Raw genomic sequence first — 27397 nt, 5'->3', positions numbered from 1 at the left:
GCCCAGCATGGGGCCTCCAGCACCCCGAGCCAGCTCTTAGGCCAGCGCCATCCCACTTGTTGACTCTCCCATCTCTCTCCTGGTGGTATAAATGTTGCTGCCCTGGCTGCACTGGCGGAGGGGTGAGGAAGCCCTGCCCTGCCACCTTTCCCCTTACGCTACTTCCCCACTGCACATGGGGCCTCCCTTGCGAGCCAGACCCACGCATGTGTAAAGGAAGGCGGGATGACACACAAGCAGAGGCCACCTGTGACTGCTCCAGGCCAAGTGCTGCATCAACACCTGGGGAAGACCCCCTGGCGGTTGGGGGGAGCCTGTTTTGACCTGATCTTTATTTACCCCTCAAAGGAAGTAAATAAATAGCTCTTTGTTTCTCTTTGTGGATGTGCCTGTACCACACTGGATGTGCCCGCTGCACACCGTTAAAAACCATGACCCAGCCCCAGAGGAAGTGGTAATACAACGATTGTTTGTTTTATTTTCCATTTATTCTTACATCTCCTCCCCGCCTCCATCCTCCACCCTTTTTGTGTGTGCTGAGAGGTTTTCTTTACCAACCTGGGATCCAATCATTTGTTCATTCATTTCTTCATTCACTCATTCCAGTGTGTACTGAACCATCATAGTGCTAGATACTGGTAAATATGAAAGACATTATAGGAGAAAGTGAGGGTGCTTTGGCCTGTGGATTCAGGCCAACTTGGATTCGGATCCTTGGAACTGTTTCCTGGCAAGATGATCGTGGATCTCTCCCAGCAGAATCATGGGCAAACTTCAGCCTTGTGGAACTCAATCTGAAAATTGAGATCATACTGTCTCATCTCACACGACTGTTTCAAGGATTAAAGACAGAGCAGTGATTTCCCCATGGTCAGCACTTAATATGTGATGCTTGCTTCCTTTAAGCTAGCAAGGTGGTAACAAAGCTTGGAATTTCTTCTCCGTCTCTCTTCCCTGTGGCTGCCAGCCTCCTTCAGCCCTTTATGGGCACCCACCTGGATTACTGTACATTTCTAAAGCTCAGAGACTGTTAGAGGCTTCCCAAGGCCTGCAAAATCAAATTCACCTTCTGTTGGTGTTCTGTTCTCCTAGGATCTGGGCTCAACTCACCTTTCCAGGCCTTTACCCACAGTGAATCTTTATAACCCTCTCCCTGCTAGCTAGATCTAATAGATCCTGGGGTGTTCCTGCTTCCATTGCTTTGTGCACACTGTCCCCCTTCCTGGAATGCCCTTTATCCTCCTCTCTCCATCCAAACTTGACCAGTCTTCAAAGCCCAGTTTAAATCCACCCAGTTCCTCCTCCCACATACCCTGCCTCCTGGGTGGTGTTTCCTAGTGTGTATTATGTGTGGATAACAACACCTATTATTGTCCTTACTAGACTAGGAGCTCTTTGAGGACAGGCTCTGTGTCTCATTGGTTTCCACCCTTCTCTCATTCATTCAGCACATGTGAAGGATGACTGCTCTGTGCCTTTGGGCCCGTCCGTGTTTCTCCAGCAGTGCCCATCACTCTGTAGGATATTCTCTTAGGAAAAGTTGGTCCAACAAATGAGTGAGGGGAAACAGAACAGAAGGTGGCAAATACTAGTCCCCCTTATTCACAGATCCCTAGTGGATGCCTGGAACAGCGGATAGTACCAGACTCTCTGTATATTATGTTTCTTCCTATACATACATACCAATGATAAAGTTTAATGTATAAATTACGTACAGTAAGAGATTAACCACAATGACTAATAATAAAACAGAACAGTTATATATTGTAATAAAAGTTGTGTGAATGTGGTCTGTTTCTCTCTCTCTCTCAAAATATCTTTTTGTACTGCACGATGGGTAACTAAAACCAAAGATAGTGAAACTGAGGCTGGGCACGGTGGCTCACGCCTATAATCCCAGCACTTTGGGAAGCCGAGGCACGCGGATCACCTGAGGTCAAGAGTTTGAGGCCAGCCTGGCCAACATGGAGAAACCCTGTCTCTACTAAAAACACAAAAATTAGCCGGGCATGGTGGCACGTGCCTGTAATCCCAGCTACTCGGGAGGCTGAGTCGGGAGAATTACTTGAACCCAGAAGGCAGAGGTTGCGGTGAGCTGAGATCATGCCATTGCGCTCCAGCCTGGGCAATAAGAGCGAAACTCCGTCTCAATAAATAAATAAATAAAGTGAAACTGGATAAAGGGGGTGACTGCTCATGAAGTCTTGGAGTGCAGGCTCTCTGTGCTGTGGGAATTCTGAGAGAAGGGGAGTAGGGGAGGCTACGGGTGAGGGGAAGGCTTCCCGGAGAGCCGAGTGGTCTTTAGAGGTTAACTGGTAGAGTTTGGAGGGCTGGGATGCAAGGCAAGGGCAGGGTGGGAGCCATGACCATCCTGGCAAGGCCAGGGATTCTTGCTTCAGCCCCTCACCATCATCCCAAGTGTCTAGATCTGGGGAGGGCATGTGGATGAAGGCTGGAACCATACAGAGTCCTTCCGGGGACCTGATCAACACAGTGGAGCAAGGGAGGACAGAGAGAGAGCCAAGAACCTTCTGCATGTTGGGTCAGTTGCAGGCGCCAAGAAGGGCTAGGGAAACGTGCATTCATTTATTAAGACTTTGTTCTTAAGGTTTTTCTTTTTTCTTTTCTTTTTTTTTGAGACAGAGTCTCGCTCTGCCGCCCAGGCTGGAGTGCAGTGGCACGATCTCTGCTCACTGCAAGCTCCACCTCCTCCTGGGTTCGTGCCATTCTCCTGCCTCAGCCTCCTGAGTAGCTGGGACTACGGGCGCCGGCCACCATGCTCGGCTAATTTTTTTGCATTTTTAGTAGAGACGGGATTTCACCTTGTTAGCCAGGATGGTCTCGATCTCCTGACCTTGTGATCCGCCCGCCTCGGCCTCCCAAAGTGCTGGGATTACAGGCGTGAGCCACCGCTCCCGGCAAGGTTTTTAAAAAAATTATAAGATGATTATTTTTAGGAATTTGGACAATATGGAAAATAGGAAAAAGTTAGAAAAATCACCCATAGTTCTTATCACCCAAAGACAGCCCTGGTTTACATTTTGTGATTTCCTTCTAGTCTTACATCTTTATTAATTTAAAAATTGTTAATTTTTAGATTTAACTTTTAAACTAAATAGTAAAAATTGTAATTATAAATATAAAACAAACTTCCTTATTGTAAAAACACATTACAAATAGGAAGAAAATAAAAGTTTAAATTCCGCCCCAATCATTAAGTCCTATCCCTCAGGGAAAATCAGTGTTAAGGGTTACTAGATGTCCTTCTGAACCTTTTTTTCTGTGCCTACAAACTCACTGATAGTTTCATTCTTTTAAAATAGGATCATAGAATACTGTTCACATGCAATCATTTCTCCTTTTACAAAGTTAGGACCATTTTGCATGCCTGGTGTTATATTTCCTTTCCTTTTTTTTTTTTTTTTTTTTGAGACAGAGTCTCGCTCTGTCACCCAGGCTGGAGTGCAGTGGTGCGATCTCAGCTCACTGCAACCTCCATCTCCCGGGTTCAAGCAATTCTCCTGCCTCAGCCTCCCAAGTAGCTGGGACTACAGGTGCACACCACCACACCCGGCTAATTTTTTGTATTTTTAGTAGAGACAGGGTTTCACCTTGTTGGTCAGGCTGGTCTCGAACTCCTCACCTCAAGTGATCTGCCTGCCTTGGCCTCCCAAAGTGCTGGGATTACAGGTGGGAGCCACCGCTCCAGGCCTACATTTCCTTTTTGTTTTACATTTTTTATGCTATGTGAATTTACTTAAGTATCTGACATTATACAAACTGAATCCATACCATTGATGATATACTTATTTATAGATTGCAATTTTATAACAACTGATAGAAAATATGGAGTAGTTTGCCCCAAAACACAAGAATATCTAATTTGTGTATTTTAGAACATGACTGAAATGTTCCATTGATTAATCAAAATGAGTTGAAAACCTTAACATTTAATATTTAGTTACAGTATTTAAAAAGTAGTGGGAGATATCTTTTTCTTTTTCTTCTTTTTTTTTTTTTTTTTTTAACATGGAGTTTCGCTCTTGCTGCCCAGGCTGGAGTACAATGGCACGATCTCGGCTCACCACAACCTCTGCCTCCTGGGTTCAAGTGATTCTCCTGCCTCAGCCTCCTGAGTAGCTGGGATTACAGGCATGTGCCACCATACCTGGTTAATTTTGTATTTTTAGTAGAGATGGGGTTTCTCCATGTTGGTCAGGCTGGTCTCGAACTCCCGACCTCAGGTGATCTGCCTGCCTCAGCCTCCCAAAGTGCTGGGATTACAGGAGTGAGCCACCAGGCCCGACTGGAGATAGCTTTTTCAATTTTGTGTCAGGTATATAAAACTAAAGGAAAAGGCATTTTTCTGAGATCTCTCAAGTTAAATAAAAATGGCCTCTCAGGTGCTCACTTTCGCAGCACATATACTAAAATTGGAACGATACAGAGAAGATTAGCATGGCCCCTGCGCAGGGATGACATGCAAATTCGTGAAGCGTTCCGTATTTTTTCCTGGCTAACACGGTGAAATCCCGTCTCCACTAAAAATACAAAAAAATTAGCCGGGCATGGTGGCAGGCGCCTGTAGTCCCAGCTACTGGGGAGGCCGAGGCAGGAGAATGGTGTGAACCCGGGAGGCGGAGCTTGCAGTGAGCCGAGATTGTGCCACTGCACTCCAGCCTGGGTGACAGAGCAAGACTCTGTCTCAAACAAACAAACAAATAAAGGCTTCTCAGGTGGACGTTTTACTTTTATTTATTATTTATTTAGAGACGGAGTCTCATTCTATCACCCAGGCTGGAGTGCAGTGGTGCGATCTCGGCTCACTGCAACCTCCACCTCCCAGGTTCAAGGGATTCTCCTGCCTCAGCCTCCTGAGTAGCTGGGACTACAGGCATGTGCCACCATGCCCGGCTAATTTTTGTATTTTTAGTAGAGATGGGGTTTCACCAGGGTGGCCAGGATGGTGTTGATCTCCTGACCTCGTGATCCGCCTGCCTCGGCCTCCCAAAGTGCCGGGATTACAGGCGTGAGCCACCACACCCGGCCACATTTTGTTGCTAAAATATAAAATGTTAATTATTATTTTGGAAAAAGTTAAAATTTCCAGCCTTTGCCTTCTACCTACACAACCTTTTAATAAACTGTTTTTTGTATGTCAATATATAGATTTCTTAAATGCCTATGTCACATTCCACCCATATTTTACTCAGGTCATCACACTATTTCCATAGACACTTCTGTTTTGGGCTAGGTCCATGAGACACAATGCCTGCCTTCTGAAGCTCACAGGCTGATTGGGACCCCACAACCTGACCAGTTTCCACTTAGTGCAATACATGGCAGTAGTGGATCTTGTGCTGGATGCAATGGAAGCTTGCAGGGTGTGGGGTGGCTGGGGATGCAGTCAAGGAAGCCTTTGTGGAGACAAGACATTTTTGCAGTGGATCTTGAAGGACAAGCAAGAAGTCCCAGATGCAGAGGCCAGAGGACTGAGTGGAGAACTGCCAGCAGCAATGTGACTCATTATCAGCCAGCTCCCCTGGTTCTGTGGTTTGTTTCTGCTTTTCCTTTAGAGATGACAGATTCTGTGAACAAGAGCTCCAGCTGTTTATCAGGGGCCCTCCCAGGCCCCAAGTGCCAGGGGCTCCCACTCCCTGCTGGAGAGGCTGTGGGCCCCTGATTAGGGAGACAGCTGAGGCAGGGGACCATGGGCACTGCAGGCGGGAGTACTGGCAGGGCACAGTGAGGGACAGAGGTGGAGACCTGCAGGATGCTGTGTGGGGGAGGGCCAGGGCAAGGGACAGAAACAGACCTTGTCCCTCTGTACTTCCAGGACGTGCCCCTGCCCTCCTCTGCCGGGTGAGATGCTGCTGTATCAAGGCCCCTTCAGACGTCACTCCTCTGTGACTCCACTCATTTATCTAACGTTTCCCCATGGCATCATTCAGAATTAATTTTTCTCCTTTGCCCACTTAGCAGGTCATTATGTTGTAGTTGAGAGTGTGAACTTTGGAATCAAGAATAGTAATAGACTGGTTGTGGTGGCTCACACCTGTAATCCCAGCACTTTGGAAGGCCATGGTGGTTGGATAACTTGAGGTCAGGAGTTCAAGACCAGCCTAGCCAACATGGTAAAACCCTGTCTCTACTAAAAATACAAAAATTAGCCGGGCATGATGGCGGGTGCCTGTAATCCCAGCTACTCGGGAGGCTGAGGTGGGAGATTGCTTGAACCTGGGAGCTGGAGGTTGCAGTGAGCCGAGATGGCGCCAGTGCACTCCAGCCTGGGCAATAACTCCGTCTCAAAAAAAAAAAAAAAAAGTAATAGATAGTAATAGCAGCTAACATTTATCAAGCATTTACCATATGCTAGGCACCGTGTTGAGTGTTGTGAGTCTACTTTCTCACTAATACTTCCCAACTGTCAGTGAGGTAGGAGCTATTATTATCCCATGTTGTAGAGGAGGAAACTGAAGGACAGAGATATTAGTAAACTTGAATTATCACAGCAGAGATTCAAACCCCTGTCTGAATCTCAATTTCCTCATTTATAACACAAAGATGAAAATAATATCTTTTTATGTTGGCCAAAAGATACAAAAATTCAGCTAGATGGGAAGAATAAGTTCAAGAGACGTATCGTACAACATGGTGACTATGGTTAGTAAAAAACATACTGTGGCTGGGCGCAGTGGCTCACGCCTGTAATCCTGGCACTTTGGGAGGCCGAGGCCGGTGGATCACCTGAGGTCAGGAGTTCAAGACCAGCCAGGTCAACATGGTGAAACCTCTTCTCTACTAAAATACAAAAATTGGCTGGGGGTGGTGGCACACAGCTGTAATCCCAGCTACTCAGGAGGCTGAGGCAGAATTTCTTGAACCTGGGAGGCAGAGGCTGCAGTGAGCTGATATCACGCCACTGCACTCCAGCCTGGGCAACAGAGTGAGACTCCATCTCAAAAAATAAATAAATAAATAAAAAATAAATAAAATAAAAACGTATTGTATACGTGAAAACTGCTAAGAGAGCAGTGTTTATGTTCTCACCACGCACACAAAAAAATGTGAGGCAATGCATATGTTAATTAGCTTGATTTAGCCATTCCACAATATATATATATTTCAAAATATCACATTGTACACAATAAATATGTACAATTTTTATTTGTCAATTTAAAAAGACATAACTTTTTTTTTTATTTTTTGAGATGGAGTCTTGCTTTGTTGCCCAGGCCGGAGTGCAGTGGCGTGATCTCCGCTCACTGCAAGCTCCGCCTCCCGGGTTCATGCCATTCTCCTGCCTCAGCCTCCGGAATAGCTGGGACTACAGGTGCATGCCACCATGCCTGGCTAATTTTTTATATTTTTAGTAGAGACGAGATTTCACCGTGTTAGCCAGGATGACCTCCATCTCCTGACCTCGTGATCTGCCCACCTTGGCTTCCCAAAGTGCTGGGATTACAGGCGTGAGCCACTGTGCCTGGCCATAACTTTTTTTTAAAATAAAATATTTTTTTGCAAGGGTAGTTGCAGGACCTGAATGAGGTAATGTATATCAAGCACTTGTCACATAGTCCTCATTCAGCTAATGTCGACTCCCCTGCCTCCTGTTACAGCCCCCACCACTCACTCAGAATCATCAATCCTTGGGTGGCGCTACTTTGAGTTTACATGCATGGCAGAGTGGTTAAGGGTGTCCATTCTGGAGCTGGACTGCCTGGGTTTAAAATCCTGGCCCAGATTCATGCTAGATGTATGACCTTGAGCAAGTTCTTTTAACCTCTTTGAGCCTCAGTTTCTTCATCTAGAATATGAAGATAGAAATGGAAGGATTGTTGTAGGATTAAAATGAATACGTGTGTGTTTGTGCATGTACATGTATATTTGCTATTGATATTGACTAGAAACTTTTTGAGGGCAGGATCAATTTCAGGAAGGTGTCACCTGGGTTCTCACTGCCTTAGTGAAGATATGTATGGCTGAGTGATCCAGATGATGGTATAATAACAAGGATAACAAGTATATATGTTGGAAATACTTGCTTATTATAATAAGAGATTTTGAAAAATATAATGAATAAAATGAAAATGAACCACTACTCAGAAATAATCACTGTTAACATTTTGGTATATTTCCTTCTAGTCTGTCACCCAAGCTGGAGTGCAGTGGCTTGATCATAGCTCAATGAAGCCTCAAACTTCGGGGCTCAGGCCATCCCCCAACCTCAGCCTCCCAGTGCTGGGATTACAGGCATAAGCCACCATGCCCAGCTCCTTCCCATCTTATTTCTATGTAGACAACTATTTTCCTGTAACTGGGATCATGTGCTGTGTTACAGTTTTGTATCCCCCACTGACCTGGTATGTATATAGGATGAGCATTTTCCAATGCCATTAATATATTCTTTGAAATAGAGTTGTTAATGGCATTTTGTTTTGTTTTACTGATTGAAAGACTATACACTAAGGGAGTTAATATATTGTTGCCATTCTGGAGACAGGGAGGCCTTTGTTTTGTTTTGTTTTGTTTTGTTTTGTTTTGTTTTGTTTGAGACAGAGTCTCGCTGTTGCCCAGGCTGGAGTGCAGTGGCGCCATCTCGGCTCACTGCAGGCTCCGCCCCCCGGGGTTCACGCCATTCTCCTGCCTCAGCCCTCCCAGTAGCTGGGACTACAGGCGCCCACCACTTCGCCCGGCTAATTTTTTTTGTATTTTTGGTAGAGACGGGGTTTCACCGTGTTAGCCAGGATGGTCTCGATCTCCTGACCTCGTGATCCACCCGCCTTGGCCTCCCAACGTGCTGGGATTACAGGCATGAGCCACTGCGCCCGGCCTTGTTTGTTTTTTGAGATGGAGTCTCCCTCTGTTGTCAGGCTGGAGTGCAGTGGCACGATCTCGGCTCACTGCAACCTCCGCCTCCCGGGTTCACGCCATTCTCCTGCCTCAGCCTCCCTGGTAGCTGGGACTACAGGCGCACACCACCACGCCCAGCTAATTTTTGTATCTTTCGTGGAAATGGAGTTTTACCATATTAGCCAGGATGATCTCAGTCTCTTGACCTCGTGATCCGCCTGCCTCGGCCTCCCAAAGTGCTGGGATTACAGGTGTGAGCCACCACGCCCGGCCCTGAGTCATTCTTGAATGAATGGCTTGGCGCTGGAAGGGACTGCTGAAATGTAGATTGAGAGAGCCAGAAATTAGATCTCAATAGGCTGAACTAATGATGAAAATTTAACAATATAAAATTCAACAAGAACAAAGTTTATTCTGAAGTTAACAAAAGGATTCTGCAAAGCAATCACCTCAAACCTCTCTTGTTAGAAGACTGGGTGTGAATTACAAATAAATTATAGAAATACAGGATAGGTGAGATGTGGCTTAACAGTTATTTATTTGCTCAACATGTATTTATTGAATGTCTACTATGTGCCAAGACTTGTTTGTTCTAGGTGTTGGGGATTCAGAACAAGCCAACAACCCTGCCCTCCTATAGCTTACATTCTAGCAATATCTAGAGACAGACAATAAGCAAACGAACATACAATGGGATGTCTCATAGTGAAAACTGCTGAGACCAATGGCAGTTAACCATGGTTCACAAGAGAAAACCGTGGTTTAAGTTGGCTCTAAACTCATGAATCAACTGTGTGATTCAATTTTGAAAAAAGCCCAACTCTACCTTAGGCTGTATGAATGGAATGTCCAGCACTTGGGAGATCATGTTCCCTCTGCTATCTGATTATCAAGTTGGATCCTGGGGCACTGCATTTACACTCTAGAGAGACACTGATGAACTGGAACTTATTTAGGAAAGGATGACTAAGATCATTAGGGGTCCCGTATTGCCCCTAAACAGGCAATAGGACCAGGATCAGCGGGTAGAGGCCCCACTACCCAGAAAACAGGACCGGACCAGTGGGTAGAGGCTCCAGGAAGGAAGGTTTCAGCTCAGTAGGTCAAGGAATGTTCTAGTGGTCAGAACTGACCAGGAATGGAACAGGCTGTGAGAGGGGGTGACTTTCCCATCTCCAGAAGTATATAAGAAGAGCCTGGATTCATCTGTGTCAGGATAGCATATAATGAATCTGGTAGAAGCTTGGATCAATTTATATGTGCAGCTCCTTTTAGTTCCAGGTCATACTATGCATGAGAAGAAAAAAGGATTTTCTGTAAAGATCTTGTAATGTACATAATTCCACACTACCCACATTTTAATAGCCAACAACCACCAAGGGCATAAGCAGAATTCCAGCATGTAGAAATCACAAGTTCTCAGAACTCCTTCACTCATCATTTTATTTTATTTATTTATTTATATGAGAGGAGTCTCACTCTGTCTCCCAGGCTGGAGTACAGTGGCACCATCTCTGCTCACTACAACCTCCACCTCCCAGGTTCAAGTGATTCTCCTGCCTCAGCCTCCCGAGAGCTGGGATTACAGCACATACCATCACACCTGGCTAATTTTTTTGTTTTTATTTTTATTTTTATTTTATTGTTGAGATAGAGCTTCTTTCGCCCAGGCTGGAGTGAAGTGGTGTGATCTTGGCTCACTGCAACCTCCACTCCCCGCCCCCATCCCACCCCAGGTTCAAGTGATTCTCCTGCCTCAGCCTCCCAAGTAGCTGGGATTAGAGGCGCCCGCCACCACGCCCAGCTAATATTTGTATTTTTAGTAGAGATGGGGTTTTGCCATATTGGCCAGCCTGGTCTCCAATGTTATGCTTTACAGAAATGAAAACAAAGTCCCAGATCATGGATTATATTCAGTTGTCCTGTCTCCCCAAGTTTTGTTTAACCTGAAATGATTCCTTAGTTTTTGTCTTCCATGACATCAACATTTTTGAAGAGTGGGCAAGGAACTCTTAAGCAAAGTCAAAAAATGAGCTAATGCAGCTGGGCATAGTGGCTCAATGCCTGTAACCCTGTTTGACAGAGCCCATCATGCTCCGAATTTGACAGATGAGGAAATGCAGGCATGGAAAGGCTACCTTGCTCAGGACCTTACCTCGAGATGATCCTGTGACATTTTCCTGGTGTATTTCCTCCTCGATCTGAGTCTTTGCAGGTTTCTGTAGAAGGGAGCTCAGCACCGGTGAGCGCTGTCGTCGGTGGCCTCTTACTCTGAGATTTTCAGGGCTTGGGAGTACCCCTCTCCCTCCACTGCCTCAGTTTACACCCATCTGTTCATGGCTGTATGCATTTGCAGGTGGAGGGCTCAGTACTCTGCATCTTCAATTCTGGGGTGGTGGAGAGGTAGGAGGATTTTGGTCCTTAATGTTCACTGCTTCCTTCCTTCCCACCAGAGCAATTTACTAACCCTTTGTATCTCACACCATGCCTGAGTTTCTCCAGTTAGGGCCCATTATGTCAAATGTATCATCTCCTGCAGACTGTGTCAAAAATACATAATCCCGGACCCCACTCCAGACCTCCTGAATCAAAATCTCTAGTGGAGTGACCAGGGCTTGCCTCTTTAATAAATTCCCAGTTAGTCAGGCTTGGTGGCTCGTGCCTATAATCTCAGCATTTTGGGATGCTGGGGCAGGAGGATTGCTGGAGGCCAGGAGTTTGAGACCAGCCTGGGCAACAAAGTTAGATCCCGTCTCTACAAATAAATTTTTAAAATTAGCCAGGCATGGTGGCCTAGGTACTTGCTGTGGTCCTAGCTACTTGGCAGGCTGAGGCAGGAGAATTGCTTGAGCCCAGGAGTTTGAGGCTGCAGTGAGCTGTGATTGCACCAACATACTCCAGCCTGGGTGACAGAGTGAGATTCTCAGTCAATCAATCAGTCAGTGAAAAATCCATTCATTCATTCATTCATTCATTCATTCATTCATTCACTACCAGTTGTTCTTACAGATTCAAGAATCACTTTTGAAAGCCTTCATTGGATCCTTGTGAAATGACCGATTGACTGCTTGGATGAACTCCTGAAGTGTTTCTATGGAGGACAGACCAAGAGGAAACTTAATATTTCCTCTCAATTTTCCTGTGAAACTAAAACTGTGCTAAAAAACAGTCTATTTAGAAAAAAAGAAGAAGATAGTTGCCTATAGAGGAACTAAAGAATGTTGTGGAATGTTGTAGGGCTTAACCACCCGGAACCTCCTCAGCGCTGATGGCAGTGATGTCACTTTCTGTAGGAGAAGGTGTCTGAGCAGGTCCCAACCTATCTGACTCCTGCTGACCTTGCCGAGGCTCTGAGAGCCTGGGGGTGACAGAAGACAGTTGCTCCACCCCGCAGAGGAGCACAGCTGTTTCCCCAGCCCCTCATTCAGCCACCTGAAATCATTCACAGTTTTCCTGTCAGTTAACCCGGCCCTGCTGCAGTGTGGGAAGGGGCCCCGCTAGATGGGGTGGGGCCGTGCTTCATTTACTGTCGGGCTTGGTGTCTTTCCTTGGGCCTCAGCTGAACAGGTGCAGGCCCAGGCAGCTGGGTGAAATGAGGACATTCTTCCTCTCCCTCCCTCCTCTCCTTCCAACTCCCTCCCCCAACCCAGCCACATGAAGCCACATCCCATTTCCTCCCCCTCATTCAAAAGCTTCACTCCCTACTCTGTCCTCCATGCTGCAGAGGGCAGTGCCCCGGGGCAGGGGACACCGTTAAGGGAAAGTGGAAAGCAGTAGGTTTCCACTGCCCCCCTCCCTTTCTGTTTTATTTGGGGGGCGTGTGAAGAGATGGAAGTGTTGTCATGAGAAGAGAGGGAGGGCTCTCCCAGGTACTACCTAGGTCACTGACTTTGCCTGCAACCTCTAAGCTCACAGAAGAAACCACTTATGAAGTTGATAACCCATCCCCTTCAGGGCTGACTCCTGCTTGTCCTCTAGGAGAATGAACATGGGGGTGCCTGAGGGATGAAGAAATCACACCCAAATCCACATTCTAGAACAAAGGTTCTCCAAGCTTAGCCTGCATTCCTTGGAGGGCCTGTTTGCTGATTGCTTGGAGGGCACTGATTGCTGAGAGATTCTGATTCAGTAGGACTAAGTGGGGCCCAACAATCTGCATTTCTAAGTTGTTGATGCTGCTTCTACTGGTATAGGGACCACACTTTGAGAATCACTATTCTAGGGCTCCCCTTAAGGTTTTTGTTTGTTTATTTTTTTTGAGACAGGGTCTCGCTCTATCACCTAGGCTGGAGTTCAGTGGCACAATCTTGGCCCACTGCAACCTCCACCTCCTGGGTTCAAGCGATCTGCCCACCTTAGCCTCCCGAGTAGCTGGGACTATGGGCGTGTGCCACCACCCCCAGCTAATTTTTTTGTGTGTTTTTGTTTTGTTTTGTTTTGTTTTTTTGTTTTGAAACGGAGTTTCGGTCTTGTTGCCCAGACTGGAGTGGAATGGCGCAATCTTGGCTCACTGCAACCTCCGCCTCCCAGATTCAAGTGATTCTCTTGCCTCAGCCTCCTGAGTAGCTGGGATTACAGGCATCCGCCACCACACCTGGCTAATTTTTGTATTTTTAGTAGAGACAGGGTTTCACCATGTTGGCCAGGCTGGTCTTGAACTCCTGACCTCAGGTGACCCACCAGCCTCGGCCTCCCAAAGCCCTGGGATTACAGGTGTGAGCCACCGCTTCTGGCCCAATTTTTGTATTTTTTGTAAAGACAGGGTTTCACCATGTTGCCCAGGCTGGTCTTGAACTCCTGGGCTCAGGCAATCCAACTGCCTCGGCCCCCCAAAGTGCTGGGGTTATAGGCATGAGCCACCACACCCAGCCTCCCCTTAAGGTTTCTGATAAGTAGGCCTGACCTAGGCACAGTTGAGGGAAGAGCAGTCCACTCAAGGAAGTTGAGCCCCCAGTAGTGACCCTTATCACTCAGGCTCTAATCACAACCCTTCCCCCTTACACTTCTGTATACCTTAGCTACATTTGGATGGGACTCTGGCTTAAGAGAAGAAGGCGGAAAGAAGACCCTCTCTGTCTGCATGTTCCCTATTCCCACGGGCAGCCCCCCTCCAAGCAATACCTCCTTCCATCTTGAACCTTTTGTTTCTAGAGCTCCTTTCCTGCCAATTATAGGGAAAGAGATGCCCCTGTGTTCCCTGAAGTTTACCTTTCAACTATATTCTGTGGAATGTTAGGCAGTGGTGACTTGGGAGGGATCCACCATGATGTAGCATGAAACTGCTCAACTATAGGTAGGAAATGTTCCTGCTTCTGTAAAAACAACCAACCAAAAAACCATAACCGAATATATACATAAGTATTTACATGCACATAGACCCTTTCCAGACCAATCAACAGCAGTCAGCTCTGTTGGGAGATTTCAGCAGGATAGAATATTTCACTCTTTATTTTCTCTAATCCTACATTTTAACAAGCCCATCTTACTTTGTAATTAAAAACCAGCCTATCTTACTTTGTAATTAAAAATGAATGCACTGCAAGTAAAAGAAAATGGTGCAGCTCTGGAAAGCTGCACACTAAGCTGTTGACAATGGGGACTAGGCTGAGGGTTCTGTCACTTTATACATACACACTCTGGACTGTTTGAATTTGTCTCAAGAGGTACTTTTCTTTTTCTTTTTTTTGAGACAGAGTTTCGCTCTTGTTGCCCAGGCTGGAATGCAGCGGCATGATCTCAGCTCACTGCAACCTCTGCCTCCTGGGTTTAAGTGATTCTCTTACCTCAGCCTCCCGAGTAGCTGGGATTACAGGCGCCCGCCCCACCCAGCTAATTTTTGTATTTTTAGTAGGGATGGGGTTTCGCCATGTTGGCCAGGCTGATCTCGAACCCCTGACCTGAGGTGATCTGCCCACCTCGACCTCCCAAAGTGCTGAGATTACAGGTGTGAGCCACCGCGCCTAGCCAAGAGATACTACTATTTTTTATATTAAAAAATAAGGTAGAGCTATAGGCAATAAAGGAAACAGAACAGCCTCCTTTCTTCCTCTCCCCACTTCCCCCAGCCCCCAGCTCCCCCGCCAGCTGCTGTCCCCAGCCTTCACACCCCGCCAGCTGCTCTGCCGGCTCATTTCTTCCTGTCACCGTCAGGTTTCTTCACTGAGTGGCCTTCACCTGCTGTCTCCACTTCTTCAACAGCCACTCTTTTTATTTTAAAGCAACATTATGTGCTTTTGTTTGTGGATCGCCAGCATTCCAAAAAAGAAAGAAAATCCCATAGACTTTAAAGCAGCATCCGTGAGCTGCTCTCGATCCTGTCCAGCCCTTTCTGGCTCTCGCAGCACATGCATGTCCTTTCATAATTGTAATCTGCACAAATGCTATTTTGTGTCCTGAAATTTTTTACGTCACCTAATTTTATAAGCCCGCCTATGTATGGACACAGCATCATTTTTTCTATGAATGGTACTATGGTTGCTTAGCCAGGCCCTGATTGTTAGGCCCTTGGGTAGTTTCCAATTTTTTGCTATTTATTCATTCACCATTTAACCCCCTGCATTTGGGCTCCGCCTCCTGCCAGTCTTTAAAAATTGCCCGTTTAAAGGTCAGTGCTATCAGACTTCCCTCCAATTCTACCAGCCTCTGCTCAGTCCTTGACTAAGCCCTTGTCCTGACTTCAATTGGACTTGGCCTTACTAGCCACCCTCATGGCCATCCACCCGCCCATCTATCAAGCTGTTGGTGAAATTCCAGCCTCCCTTCATTTCCTTTTGTTCTTTTTCTTTCTTTAACCATTTTCAAAAACACAGACCTTTTTACATTTTTGTTGTAAAACAATGAAACAACCAATAAGTGTACAATATAGAAAGTAAAAACATGTTGTTTCAAATGTTAAAATTGACTTATGAAGCATATATACACAAAAGAATATAAGTGCATATATATGTATGTAGGTATATATATACATGTGTGTATGTATATTATGAAGTAGTATAATAAAACTAAACATACCCTGCAACTTGAGAAATATGTCACCAGTTATATAGGAGCTTCCTGTGTTCCCTTTTCTGTGCCATCCCTCTAACAAATCTCATTGAGATACTATGAATTGTGTTCATTTTATCATTCGCCTACTTAATTTTTCTTTTTTTTTTTTTGAGACAGAGTCTTGCTCTGTCACCCAGGCTGGAGTGCAGTGGAGCGATCTCGGCTCACTGCAAGCTCTGCCCCCTGGGTTCACACCATTCTCCTGCCTCAGCCTCCCGAGTAGCTGGGACTACAGGCGCCCGCCACCACGCCCAGCTAATTTTTTGTATTTTTAGTAGAGATGGGGTTTCACCGTGTTAGCCAGGATGGTCTTGATCTCCTGACCTCGTGACCCACCCGCCTCAGCCTCCCAAAGTGCTGGGATTACAGGCATGGGCCACCGCGCCTGGCTGCCTAATTAATTTTAATAATTTGTGGACTTGAAGAGATTCCACGTAGATAGTCATATCATCTATTAATAATGAAGTTGTTTTTTTTCAATTCTATACCTTTCATTTATTTTCCTTTGTTTTGTGTTTTGCTAGAGCCTCCAATTTAATGTCAGCTAGAAGCAAGGACAGCAGGCATCCTTGCCCTACTCCTGAACTTAAAGGATAATGCTTCTAATGGCTTCCCACTCATAATAATGATTGCTGTAGGTTTAGGGTAGATGCTCTTTAATAGATAAAGGAAGTTTCCTTTATTTCTAGTTTGTTGTTAAATCTTTTTTTTTTAAACCTCTAAATCTACCTTAATGTTGTTAAATCTTATCACATGCTTTTTCTACATCTATTGAGATGAGATGATGTGAGTTTTTGTTTTTCATCTATGAGTGTTATAAGTTACATTAATAATAATTATTATTATTATTTTAAGACAGGGTCTTGGTCTGCACTCAGGCTGTAGTGCCACGGTGCAATCATAGCTCACTGTAGCCTTGAGCTCTGGTGCACAAGGAATCCTACCCCCTCAGCCTCCCAAGTAGCTGGGACCACAGGCACACAACACCACACCCTGCTAATTAAAAAAAAATTTTTTGTGTAGAAATGGGGTCTCAGGCTGGGCGCGGTTGCTCATACCCGTAATCCCAACACTTTGGGAGGCTGAGGCGGGTGATCACCTGAGGTCAGGAGTTCGACTAGCCTGGCCAACATGGTGAAACCCCGTCTCTACTAAAAATACAAAAAATTAGCCAGGCATGGTGGCGGGTGCCTGTAATCCCAGCTGCTTGCGAGGCTGAGGCATGAGAATCGCCTGAATCTGGGAGGTGGACATTGCAGTGAGCTGAGATTGCGCCTTTGCACTCCAGCCTGGGCAACGAGCAAAACTCTTATCTCAAAAAAATAAGAAATGGGGCCTCACCATGTTGCCGAGGGTTATCAAAATTCCTAGCTCAAGTGATTCTCCTACCTTGGGCTCCTCAAGTTCTGAGATTACAGGAATGAGCCAATGCAATTGGCCTACATTAATTCTTTTTTTTTTTTTTTTTTTTTTTTTTGAGACAGGGTCTCACTCTGTCTCCCAGGCTGGAGGGCAGTGGCACGATCTCAGCTCATAGCAACCTCCGCCTCCCAGGTTTAAGCGATTCTCATGCCTCGGCCTCCAAGTGGCTAGGACTACAGGCGTGCACCACCACGCCCAACTAATTTTTGTATTTTTAGTAGAGGCAGGGTTTCACCATGCTGCTCAGGCTGGTTTCAAACTCCAGACCTCAAATTATCCACCCGCCCTGGCTTCCCAAAATTCTGGGATTACAGGCCTGAGCCACCACACCTCGCCCCAGTAATTTTTTATGTTAAATTTTCTTTGCATTTCTGGGATAAATCCAATTAGGACATGATACATTATCTTGTTAATACACTGCTGGGTTTGGTTTGCTTATATTTTGAGCAAGGTGTCAGCATATATGCTCATTAGTGACATTAACCTTTAATTTTTCTTTCTCATACTATGTTTGGCTGGTTTGGAATTAAGATTTTACTAACCTCGCTGACTGAGTTGGCAGTATTTCTTTTTTAATACCTATGAAAGTCAACATAAAATTGGAATTGATGCTTTCTTTAATGTTTGATAGAATATTCCTGTAAAACATTCTGAGTCTGTTTTCTTTGTAAGAAGATTTTAAATTACTGATTTAATTTGTGTTTATGACTATAGATAAATAGACCATATGTCCTTGTTTGCTTGGGCTAGTGCCAGGTTATAGCTGTTATCCTGGCATATTTATAAATGGTACTCCCTTTCACTTTAAAAGATATACTGGTTTGGATAATAATAAATAGTTATTCTTTCTTTTTCTTTTTTTTCCTGAAATGGAGTCTCACTCTGTTGCCCAAGAAGGAGTGCAGTGGTGCAGTCTCAGGTCACTGCAACTTCTGCCTCCCGGGTTCAAGCAGTTCTCTGCCTCAGCCTCCGAGTAGCTGGGATTACAGGTGCCCACCACCACACCTGGCTATTTTTTTGTATTTTTAGTAAAGACAGCATTTCACCATCTTGGCCAGGCTGGTCTTGAACTCCTGACCTCGTAATCCACCCGCCTGGGCCTCCCAAAGTGCTGGGATTACAGGCATGAGCCACCATGCCCAGCCATAAATAGAGTTATTCTGTATATATAGGACTATTTAGGTTTTTTCTTTCTTCTTGAGGTAGTTTTTGGTAAATTATGTTTTTCTATAATATCATCTAATTTGTCTGTATCAAATTTATTGGCACTAAGTTGCTTATAGTTTTCTCATCTTTTAACCCTCTGCCATAGATTTAAACATATCACTTTGGACCAGGAACTGTGGCTCACACCTGTAATCCCAGCTACTGGAGAGGCTGAGTGAGGGATGAGAAGCGCTTGAACCTGGGAGGTGGAGGTTGCAGCGAGCCAGGATCCCACCATTGCACTCCAGCCTGGGCTACATAGTGAGACTCTGTCTCAGGAAAAAAAAAAAAAAAATACATACACACACACACACACACACATACATATATATATAACTTTTAAGATCTCTAATGTCATTGATCTGAATCTTCTTTTTATTGATCATATTACCTAAGTTTTGTTTGTTTTGTTAGTCTTTTTGATGTTAAACTTTTTTTTTTTTTTTTTTTTGAGATAGGGTCTCACTCTGTCGCCCAGGCTGGAATGCAGTGGCATGATGGTTTACTACAGCCTCAACCTCCCAGGCTCAAGTGATCCTCCCACCTCAGCCTCCTTAGTAACTGGGACTACAGTCACATGCCACCACCAAGCCCAGCTAATTTTTGTGTTTTTTGTAGAGATGGGGTTTCACCATGTTGCTCAGACTGGTCTCAAACTCCTGATCTCAAGTGATCTGCCTGCCTCAGCTTCCCAAAGTGCTGAGATTACAGGCCTGAACCACAATGTTAAACTTTTAACTTTACTGACCTTTTCTACTGTTTATTTTCTGTCTCATTATTCCTCTGCTTTTATTGTTTTATTCTCCTTAAGACTTATTCTGCTGTTCTTTTTTTTTTTTTTTTTTTTTTTTTTTTTTTTTTTTTGAGACAGAGTCTCACTCTGGTTGCCCAGGCTGGAGTGCAATGGCTGGATATCAGCTCACTGCAGCCTCCACCTCTGGGGTTCAAGTGATTCTCCTGCCTCAGCCTCCCAAGTAGCTAGGATTACAGGTATGCTCCACCACACTCGGCTAATTTTGTATTTTTAGTAGAGATGAGGTTTCTCCATGTTGGTCAGGCTTGTCTCAAACTCCTGACCTCAGGTAATCCACCTGTCTCGGCTTCCCAAAGTGCTGGGATTACAGGTGTGAGCCATTGCTCCTGGCCTCTGCTGTTCTTTTTTTTTTTAACTTCATAAGTTCTGTGCTTGGTTTATCAATTTTGAATATTTCTCTTTTTTTTTTTTTTGACACGCTGTTTCGCTCTTGTTGTCCAGGCTGGAGTGCAGTGGCACGATCTTGGCTCACCTCAACCTCTGCCTCCCAGGTTCAAGTGATTCTCCTGCCTCAGCCTCCCAAGTAGCTGGGATTACAGGCATGTGCCACCACACCCAGCTAATATTGTATTTTTAGTAGACACAGGGTTTCTCCATGTTGGTCAGGCCGGTCTCAAACTCCCAACCTCAGGTGATCTGCCTGGCTTGGCCTCCCAAAGTGCTGGGTTTACAGGCATGAGCCACCCCACCCGGCCTCTCTTTTCTTTCTTTTTTGTGTTTTTGAGATGGAGTCTAGCTCTGTTGCCCAGGCTGGAGTGCAGTATCGTGACCTTGGCTCACTGCAAGCTCTGCCTCCCGGGTTCACGCCATTGTCCTGCCTCAGCCTCCCGAGTAGCTGGGACCACAGGTGCCCGCCACCACACCAGGCTAATTTTTTGTATTTTTTTAGTAGACATGGTATTTCACCACGTTAGCCAGGATGGTCTCAATCTCCTGATCTTGTGATCCACCCGCCTCGGCCTCCCAAAGTGCTGGGATTACAGGCGTGAGCCACCACGCCCAGCCCTCTCTTTTCTAATACATGCACTTAAGGCTATATATTTCCCTGTAAGTGTTGTTTTAGCTGCATTGTATAAGTTTGCTTTCTTTATTGAATGTACATATCATAAAATAAATACATAGTTTTTTTTTTTTTTGAGATGGAGTCTTGTTCTGTTGCCCAGGCTGGAGTGCAGTGGCACAATCTGGGCTCACTGTAGCCTCCCAAGTTCAAGCAATTCTCCTGCCTCAGCCTCCTGAGCAGCTTGAACTACAGGCATGCACCACCACACCCAGCTAATTTTTGTATTTTCAGTAGAGATAGGATTTTACTATGTTGGCCAGGCTGGTCTCGAACTTCTGACCTCAAGTGATCCGCCCACCTCGGCCTCCCAAAGTGCTGTGATTACAGGTGTGAGCCACCATGCCTGGCCAAAATACACAGATCTTAAGTCTACAGTTCTATGAATTTTTTTTTTTTTTAAAGAAAGTTTTGCTCTTCTCACCCAGGCTGGAGTACAATGGCGCTTTCTCAGCTCACTGCAACCTCTGTCTCCCAGGTTCAAGTGATTCCCCTGCCTCAGCCTCCCAACTAGCTGGAATTACAAGCATGCACCACCACGACTGGTTAATTTTTGTATTTTTCATAAGGAAGGGGTTTCACCATGTTAGCCAGGCTGGTCTTGAACTCCTGACCTCAGGTGATCCACCCACCTCAGCCTCCCAAAGTTCTGGGATTATAGGCATGAGCTACCGTGCCCGGCCCTATGAATTTTGACAAATGTAAACATTCACATCCATGTTGCCATCATCTGAATCAAAATATGGGACAGTTCTATTATCCTAGAAAGTTTCAGGCACACTCCGCCCCCCGCCCCGCTTTTTTTGAGATGGAGTCTTGCTGTGCTGCTCAGGCTATCCTTGAACTCCTGAGCTCAAGTGATCCTTCTACCTCAGCCACCCAGTAGCTGCGATTACAGATGTGCACCACTGCTTCCTGCCCATGGGGCCCATTTTGGTTCAGTCTCTTTTTTATCACCAGAGTTTACCCCTGTTAAGACTATACATGTATAGAACCTCATCTAAAAAGAATCATGCAGTATCAATTCTCTTTGTGCCTGGCTTCTTTCACTTAGTATATGTGGTATGTGTTAGCAACCTGTTCCTTTTTATTGCTAACTTGTATTGCATTGTATGGATGTATATGCACTATTTGTTTATCCATTCTCTTGTTGATAGACATTTGGGATGTTTCTAGCTTTTGACTATTAGCACCTATGTATATCCTTGAGCAAGTCTTTTGTAGACATACGTTTTCATTTCTTCTGGGGAGGTACCTATAAGCTTTTTTTTTTTTTTTTTTGAGATGGGGTCTTGCTCTGTTGCCCAGGCTGGAGTGCAGTGGCGTGATCTGGGCTCACTGCAACCTCCACCTCCTAGGTTCAAGCAATTCTTGTGCCTCAGCCTCCCCAGTAGCTGGGACTACAGATGCACCACCATGCCTGGCTAAATTTTTGTATTTTTAGTAGAGATGGGGTTTCACCATGTTGGCCAGGCTGGTCTTGAACTTCTGACCCCAGGTGATCTGCCCGCCTCGGCCTCCCAAAGTACTGGGATACAGGCGTGAGCCACCGTGCCTGACCTATAGATGTCCTATAAGTTTTAATATGTGATATTTTCATTATCATTTAAGTTTTAGTTCTTGAAAAGTTTCCATTAAAGATTTGTTTCATGGCCAGGCGTGGTGGCATGCCTGTAATCCCAGCACTTTGGGAGGCCGAGGCAGGCGGATCACCTGAGGTCGGGAGTTCGAGACCAGCCTGACCAACATGGAGAAACCCCGTCTCTACTAAAAATACAAAATTAGCTGGGCATGGTGGCACATGCCTGTAATCCCAGCTACTAGGGAGGCTGAGGCAGGGGAATCGCTTGAACCTGGGAGGCAGAGGTTGTGGTGAGCCGAGATTGCGCCATTGCGCTCCAGCCTGGGCAACAAGAGTGAAACTCCGTCTCAGAAAAAAAAAAAAAAAAAAGATTCGTTTCACCCAGTTATTAGAAAGTATGTTTTCAGGCCGGGCGCGGTGGCTCACGCTTATAATCCCAGCACTTTGGGAGGCCGAGGCAGGCGGATCACGAGGTCAGGAGATCGAGACCACGATGAAACCCTGTCTCTACTAAAAATACAAAAAATTAGCCGGGTGTGGTGTCGGGCGCCTGTAGTCCCAGCTACTCGGAGAGGCTGAGGCAGGAGAATGGCGTGAACCCGAGAGGCGGAGCTTGCAGTGAGCCGAGATCGCGCCACTGAACTCCAACCTGGGCGACAGAGACTCTGTCCCAAAAAAAAAAAAAAAAAAAAAAAAAAAGTATGTTTTCAAATTTCCACGAGACTTGATGATTTCTAACTTTCTTGGATTTTGGTCCTTTAATATAATCTCTATAATACTGATTTTTTTTGAAATGTTTTTGAGACTTGCTTTATGACCTAGTATGTAGTAAATTTGTACCTTGAAAAGAATGTGTATTCTCCAATACACATATGCACACACACATACACAGGCCTATATAAATATATCTACATCACTTTGATCAAGCTTATGGTGAAATCATCTAAATCCCTACCGAATTTTGTGTGCCCTCTCTATCAATTACTGCAAAAGATGTATTAAAATATCCTACTCCGATGGTGGATTTATTTTATTTTATTTTAGTGACAGGGTCTCATTCTGTCTCCCAGGCTGGAGTGCAGTGGCACGATCATAGCTCACTGCAAACTCAAACTTCTAGGCTCGAAGAATCCTCCTGCCTCAGCCTCCAAAGAAGCTGGGACTGTAGGTGCATACCACCATGTCCGGCCTTTTAAATTTTTTGTAGAGATGACGTCTCACTATGTTGACAGGCTGATCTCAAACTCCTGGGCTCAAGTGATCCTCCAGCCTTGGCTTCCCTAAGTGCTGGGATTATAGGTGTGAGCCATGAGCCACCAAGTTTAGCTTTATGTATTTTGTACCTTTGTTATTTGCGAGATGGAAATTTATAATTATTATATTATTATAGGAAACAAATTATTATTGTATCAAAATTTAGAATAATTATCGGCCAGGCACGGTGGCTCATGCCTGTAATCCCAGCACTTTGGGAGGCCGAGGCAGGTGGATCACCCATCTCTACTGAAAATACAAAAATTAGCCGGGCATGGTGGTGGGTGCCTGTTATCCCAGCTACTTGGGAGGCTGAGGCAGGAGAATCACTTGAACCCAGGAGGCGGAGGTTGCAGTGAGCCGAGATTGTGCCATTGCACTCCAGCCCGGGCAGCAAGAGTGAAACTCCATCTGGCAAAATACTCAGATCTTAAGTCTATAGTTCTATAAATTTTTTTTTTTCGAGACAGAGTTTTGCTCTTATTGCCTAGGCTGAAGCGCAATGGCGCTATCTCAGCCACCATGCCCAGCCACAGCACAAATTCTGATGGGTTTACATCCTACGTTGGCCACTTCTAGCTGTGGGACCTTGGGCAAGTTACTTAATCTTTTTATGTCAGTTTTCTCATCAGTAATATAAGGATAGTAATACCTCTCTGGGTTTTAGATTAAGGAAGTTAATATAATAAAAAGCATAGACCAGCCAGGCGGGGTGGCTCACACCTGTAATCCCGGCACTTGGGGAGGCCGAGGCGGGCGGATCACCTGAGGTTGGGAGTTTGAGACCAGCCTGACCAACATGGAGAAACTCCATCTCTACTAAAAATACAAAATTAACCAGGTGTGGTGGCACATGCCTATAATCCCAGCTGCTCAGGAGGCTGAGGCAGGAGAATCACTTGAACCCCGGAGACAGAGGTTGCGGTGAGGCAAGATCGCACCATTGCACCCCAGCCTGGACAACAAGAGCGAAACTCTGTCTCAAAAAAAAAAAATAATAATGCATAGACCAGGGACTGGCATGATGTAAGTGCTATAAAATTTTGGGTATCAGCTGGGCACGGTGGCTCACGCCTGTAATCCCAGCACTTTAGGAGACCGAGGCAGGCGGATCACCTGAGGTCAGGAGTTCGAGACCAGCCTGGCCAACATGGTGAAACCCCGTTGGCCAGGCGTGGTGGTTGGCACCTGTAATCCCAGCTACTCAGGAGGCTGAGGCAAGAGAATCACTTGAACCCGGGAGGTGGAGGTTGCGGTGAGCTGAGATTGCACCATCACACTTCAGCCTGGGGGACAAAAGCAAGACTTCGTCTCAAAAAAAAAAAAAAAATTGGATATTGTCACATTAAGGAAAAGAAAATGGTCACTTGAAATTCTTTTTTTTTTTTTTTTGAGGTGGAGTCTCGCTCTGCCGCCCAAGCTGGAGTACAGTGGTGCGATCTCAGCTTTCTGCAACCTCCGCCTCCCAGGTTCAAGTGATTCTCATGCCTCAGCTTCCTGAATACCTGGGATTACAGCCATATGCCACCACATCCAGTTTATTTTGTATTTTTAGTAGAGATGGGGTTTCACCATGTTGGCCAGGCTGGTCTTGAACTCCTGACCTCAAGTGATCTGCTTGCCTTGGCCTCCCAAAATGCTGGGATTACAGGAGCGCCACCACGCCCGGCTAATTTTTGTAATTTTTTTTTTTTTTTTTTTAGTAGATACTGGGTTTTGCCATGTTGGCCAGCTGATCTTGAACTCCTGACCTCAGGTGATCCACCCGCCTCAGCCTCCCAAAGTGCTGGGATTACAGACATGAGCCATTGTGCCTGGCTGTTACCTGAAATTCTAAAATTCCAGTTGGGAATGGACCTTAGAGATGATTGGATTTAATCTCTACATCCCCATGGGGCTCTTCTGGGTGGTGGTGAAGCACATCCAGCCAGATTCTCATGCCATAACTGGGTTGTTTTTGAGGTCTCACTGTGTTGCCGGGGCTGGTCTTAAACTCCTGGGCTCAAGTGATCCTCTTATCTTGGCCTCCTGAGTAGCTGAGACCACAGGCATATGCCACTGTGCCTGGCTCCTTCCTGGTTTTGAGCTCCCACTTTGGCTTTAAGCTGTTTGGTAAAGTAGGTAAAATTTATTGTAATGGCCTCTTAAATGAGGAAGAGGCCATTATAATTTACCCATTACCCAGCCCTTGTCCCCTTGCCGGTTTTGCTCCCAATCTACCTTTTCTACCCCAGATAACTCACACTATTTCCCACTACTCACATCTTCACTCTGCCACCTGCTTCCTACTGCACCTTAGTTCTCTTGAGTCTCTGTTCCTGAGTCAGATTCTGCATGCCTGTTAAGGTGCCAACTAGTTACTCTGATAAGCTAATTCCTCTGAAAGTACTAACTGGAGACAGTGCAAAGGTTGCTGCTTCATACAAAGGTGCATTATGACATGGGTCTTTCCAGAGAAAATGCGCTGCCCTTTGAGTCCTGGTCTGTGGGAGGAAGAGATGGAACAGCATTCAAGCTAGGAAGTCAGAAGAGAGTATTAGATCATCAGCCTCCTTTGTCAAAGAAGACAGGTCCTTTCTGTGCATCCGTTGTGTGGGCTGGCTGGGGACAGACAGGGATACTGGCAGGGATGTGGCAGGGACATTTGATAATATCTTTCTAGGTGCAGGCCTAGTTGCTGGAGGGGGTGGGCAGCAGGATATAAAAATGGGTAAGATGGCCAGGTGCTGTGGCTCACGCCTGTAATCCCAGCACTTTGGGAGGCCAAGGCGGGAGGATCATGAGGTCAAGAAATAGAGACCAGCCTGGCCAACATGGTGAAATCCTGTCTCTACTAAAAATACAAAAATTAGCTGGACATGGTGGCGCACACCTGCAGTCCCAGCTACTTGGGAGGCTGAGGCAGGAGAATCGCTTGAACCTGGGAGGTGGAGGTTGCAGTGAGCCGAGATTGTGCCACTGCACTCCAGCCTGGCAACAGGGCAAGACTCCGTCTCAAAAAAAAAAAAAGGTAAGATTTTTCCCTACCTTCAAGGATTGAGGGAAATGTTAACTACACCGGTAATAAATACACTATAAACTATGATAAATGGTAGAAGAGACATAAGTGAGACTGTAGATAAAAGTGAGCAGTCTATGCAAACTGGAAGTTTTGAAAGGCTTCGTAGAAAGGCTGATGGTGGCCTTAGACCCACATATGAGGAAGATTTTTACAAAATATAAATATATCAGGCTGGGCGCGGTGGCTTACACCTGTAATCCCAGCACTTTGGGAGGCCGAGGCGAGCGGATCACTTGAGGTCAGGAGTTCAAGACCAGCCTGGCCAACATGGTGAAACCCCATCTCTACTGAAAATATGAAAATTAGCCGGACATGGTGGCGTGTGCCTGTAATCCCAGCTACTCAGGAGGCTGAGGCTGGAGAATCACTTGAACCCGGGAGGCGGAGGTTGCAGTGAGCCGAGATCATGCCAGTGCACTCCAGCCTGGGTGACAAGAGTGAAAGTCCATGTCAAACAAACAAACAAACAAACAAAAAAAATATATATATATATATTATATATATATATATGAGAGCAGATTCTCTACTAATACTAGAAACTCTACAAATAATAGAATACAGAAAGAAAAGAAAATCCTCTACCGTCTTCCTATTCAGGGCAACTTCTGTTATCTCCAGATGATAGGATTTGGGGTGATTTCTGTTCTCTGTACATTTATGTATTTTAAAAAAATTTTATTAACATTTTAAAATTTATAACTTAAAATTTTTAGTATTATTAAAAAGAAATAGAGACAGGGTCTCTCTGTGTTGGCCAGGTTGGTCTTGAACTCTTGGTCTCAAACAGTCCTCCTGCCTCGGCCTCCCAAAGTGTTAGGATTGCAGGCGTGAGCCACTGTGCCCAGATCGTTTATGTATTTTTATCTCTCGTGTGTTTTAGAATAAAAAGAGCACATATTTATAAAAACAAAATTTAATGCCCAAAGACAACTCAGTGCTAACATTTTAGCATATTGTCCTCCTAGTCTTTTTGCAATACACAATTTTATCATTCCATTTATACAATTGTTTATACTGCTTTTTTCAATTTCTCAGCATTTGTCCTGTTTATTAGAAATACTTTGGGCATGTGCAGTGGCTCACGCCTGTAATCCCAGC

The 27397-nt window shown here is 45.4% G+C and overlaps 1 protein-coding gene, 1 long non-coding RNA gene and 1 pseudogene across 14 annotated transcripts in view, besides 5 other annotated features; 2 read left to right on the top strand and 1 right to left on the bottom strand.

Moving 5' to 3' along the window:
* Positions 1-27397, top strand: part of CCND3 (cyclin D3) — a 115103-nt gene that overhangs the window by 27118 nt on the left and 60588 nt on the right. The gene's annotated exons all lie outside the window — the stretch shown is intronic.
* Positions 678-26773, bottom strand: LOC105375059 (uncharacterized). Of its 5 annotated transcripts, none has more exons than XR_001744119.2 (5): positions 25501-26773; positions 14062-14165; positions 11009-11240; positions 9028-9169; positions 678-794 (listed from the first exon to the last, which is right to left on the bottom strand). It is a non-coding gene; the product is annotated as an uncharacterized LOC105375059 (long non-coding RNA). The 5 variants fall into 5 exon arrangements; XR_007059574.1 differs by lacking the exon at positions 678-794 and adding an exon at positions 5119-5588; XR_007059576.1 differs by lacking the exons at positions 678-794; positions 25501-26773 and adding exons at positions 5119-5588; positions 25064-25272.
* RNU6-761P (RNA, U6 small nuclear 761, pseudogene) lies at positions 4404-4509 on the top strand (annotated as a pseudogene).
* Positions 5766-6267: an enhancer, noted in NCBI's record as "H3K4me1 hESC enhancer chr6:41984389-41984890 (GRCh37/hg19 assembly coordinates)". NCBI's record gives its function as "activates a minimal SCP1, AML or CMV promoter by ChIP-STARR-seq in naive H9 embryonic stem cells {active_cell/tissue: H9 hESC(naive)}" and the evidence as "EXISTENCE:reporter gene assay evidence [ECO:0000049][PMID:30033119]".
* Positions 5805-5854: an enhancer, noted in NCBI's record as "active region_24533". NCBI's record gives its function as "activates an Ori minimal core promoter by ATAC-STARR-seq in GM12878 lymphoblastoid cells {active_cell/tissue: GM12878}" and the evidence as "EXISTENCE:reporter gene assay evidence [ECO:0000049][PMID:35858748]".
* Positions 11869-12824: an enhancer, noted in NCBI's record as "H3K27ac-H3K4me1 hESC enhancer chr6:41977832-41978787 (GRCh37/hg19 assembly coordinates)". NCBI's record gives its function as "activates a minimal SCP1, AML or CMV promoter by ChIP-STARR-seq in naive H9 embryonic stem cells {active_cell/tissue: H9 hESC(naive)}" and the evidence as "EXISTENCE:reporter gene assay evidence [ECO:0000049][PMID:30033119]".
* Positions 12825-13781: an enhancer, noted in NCBI's record as "H3K27ac-H3K4me1 hESC enhancer chr6:41976875-41977831 (GRCh37/hg19 assembly coordinates)". NCBI's record gives its function as "activates a minimal SCP1, AML or CMV promoter by ChIP-STARR-seq in naive H9 embryonic stem cells {active_cell/tissue: H9 hESC(naive)}" and the evidence as "EXISTENCE:reporter gene assay evidence [ECO:0000049][PMID:30033119]".
* Positions 15037-15126: an enhancer, noted in NCBI's record as "active region_24532". NCBI's record gives its function as "activates an Ori minimal core promoter by ATAC-STARR-seq in GM12878 lymphoblastoid cells {active_cell/tissue: GM12878}" and the evidence as "EXISTENCE:reporter gene assay evidence [ECO:0000049][PMID:35858748]".

This window comes from Homo sapiens, chromosome 6, assembly GCF_000001405.40.
Source record: "Homo sapiens chromosome 6, GRCh38.p14 Primary Assembly".
Lineage (NCBI taxonomy): Eukaryota > Metazoa > Chordata > Mammalia > Primates > Hominidae > Homo > Homo sapiens.
The sequence above is the reverse complement of the archived record's forward strand: the minus strand, read 5'-3'. Positions and strand labels throughout refer to the sequence as shown.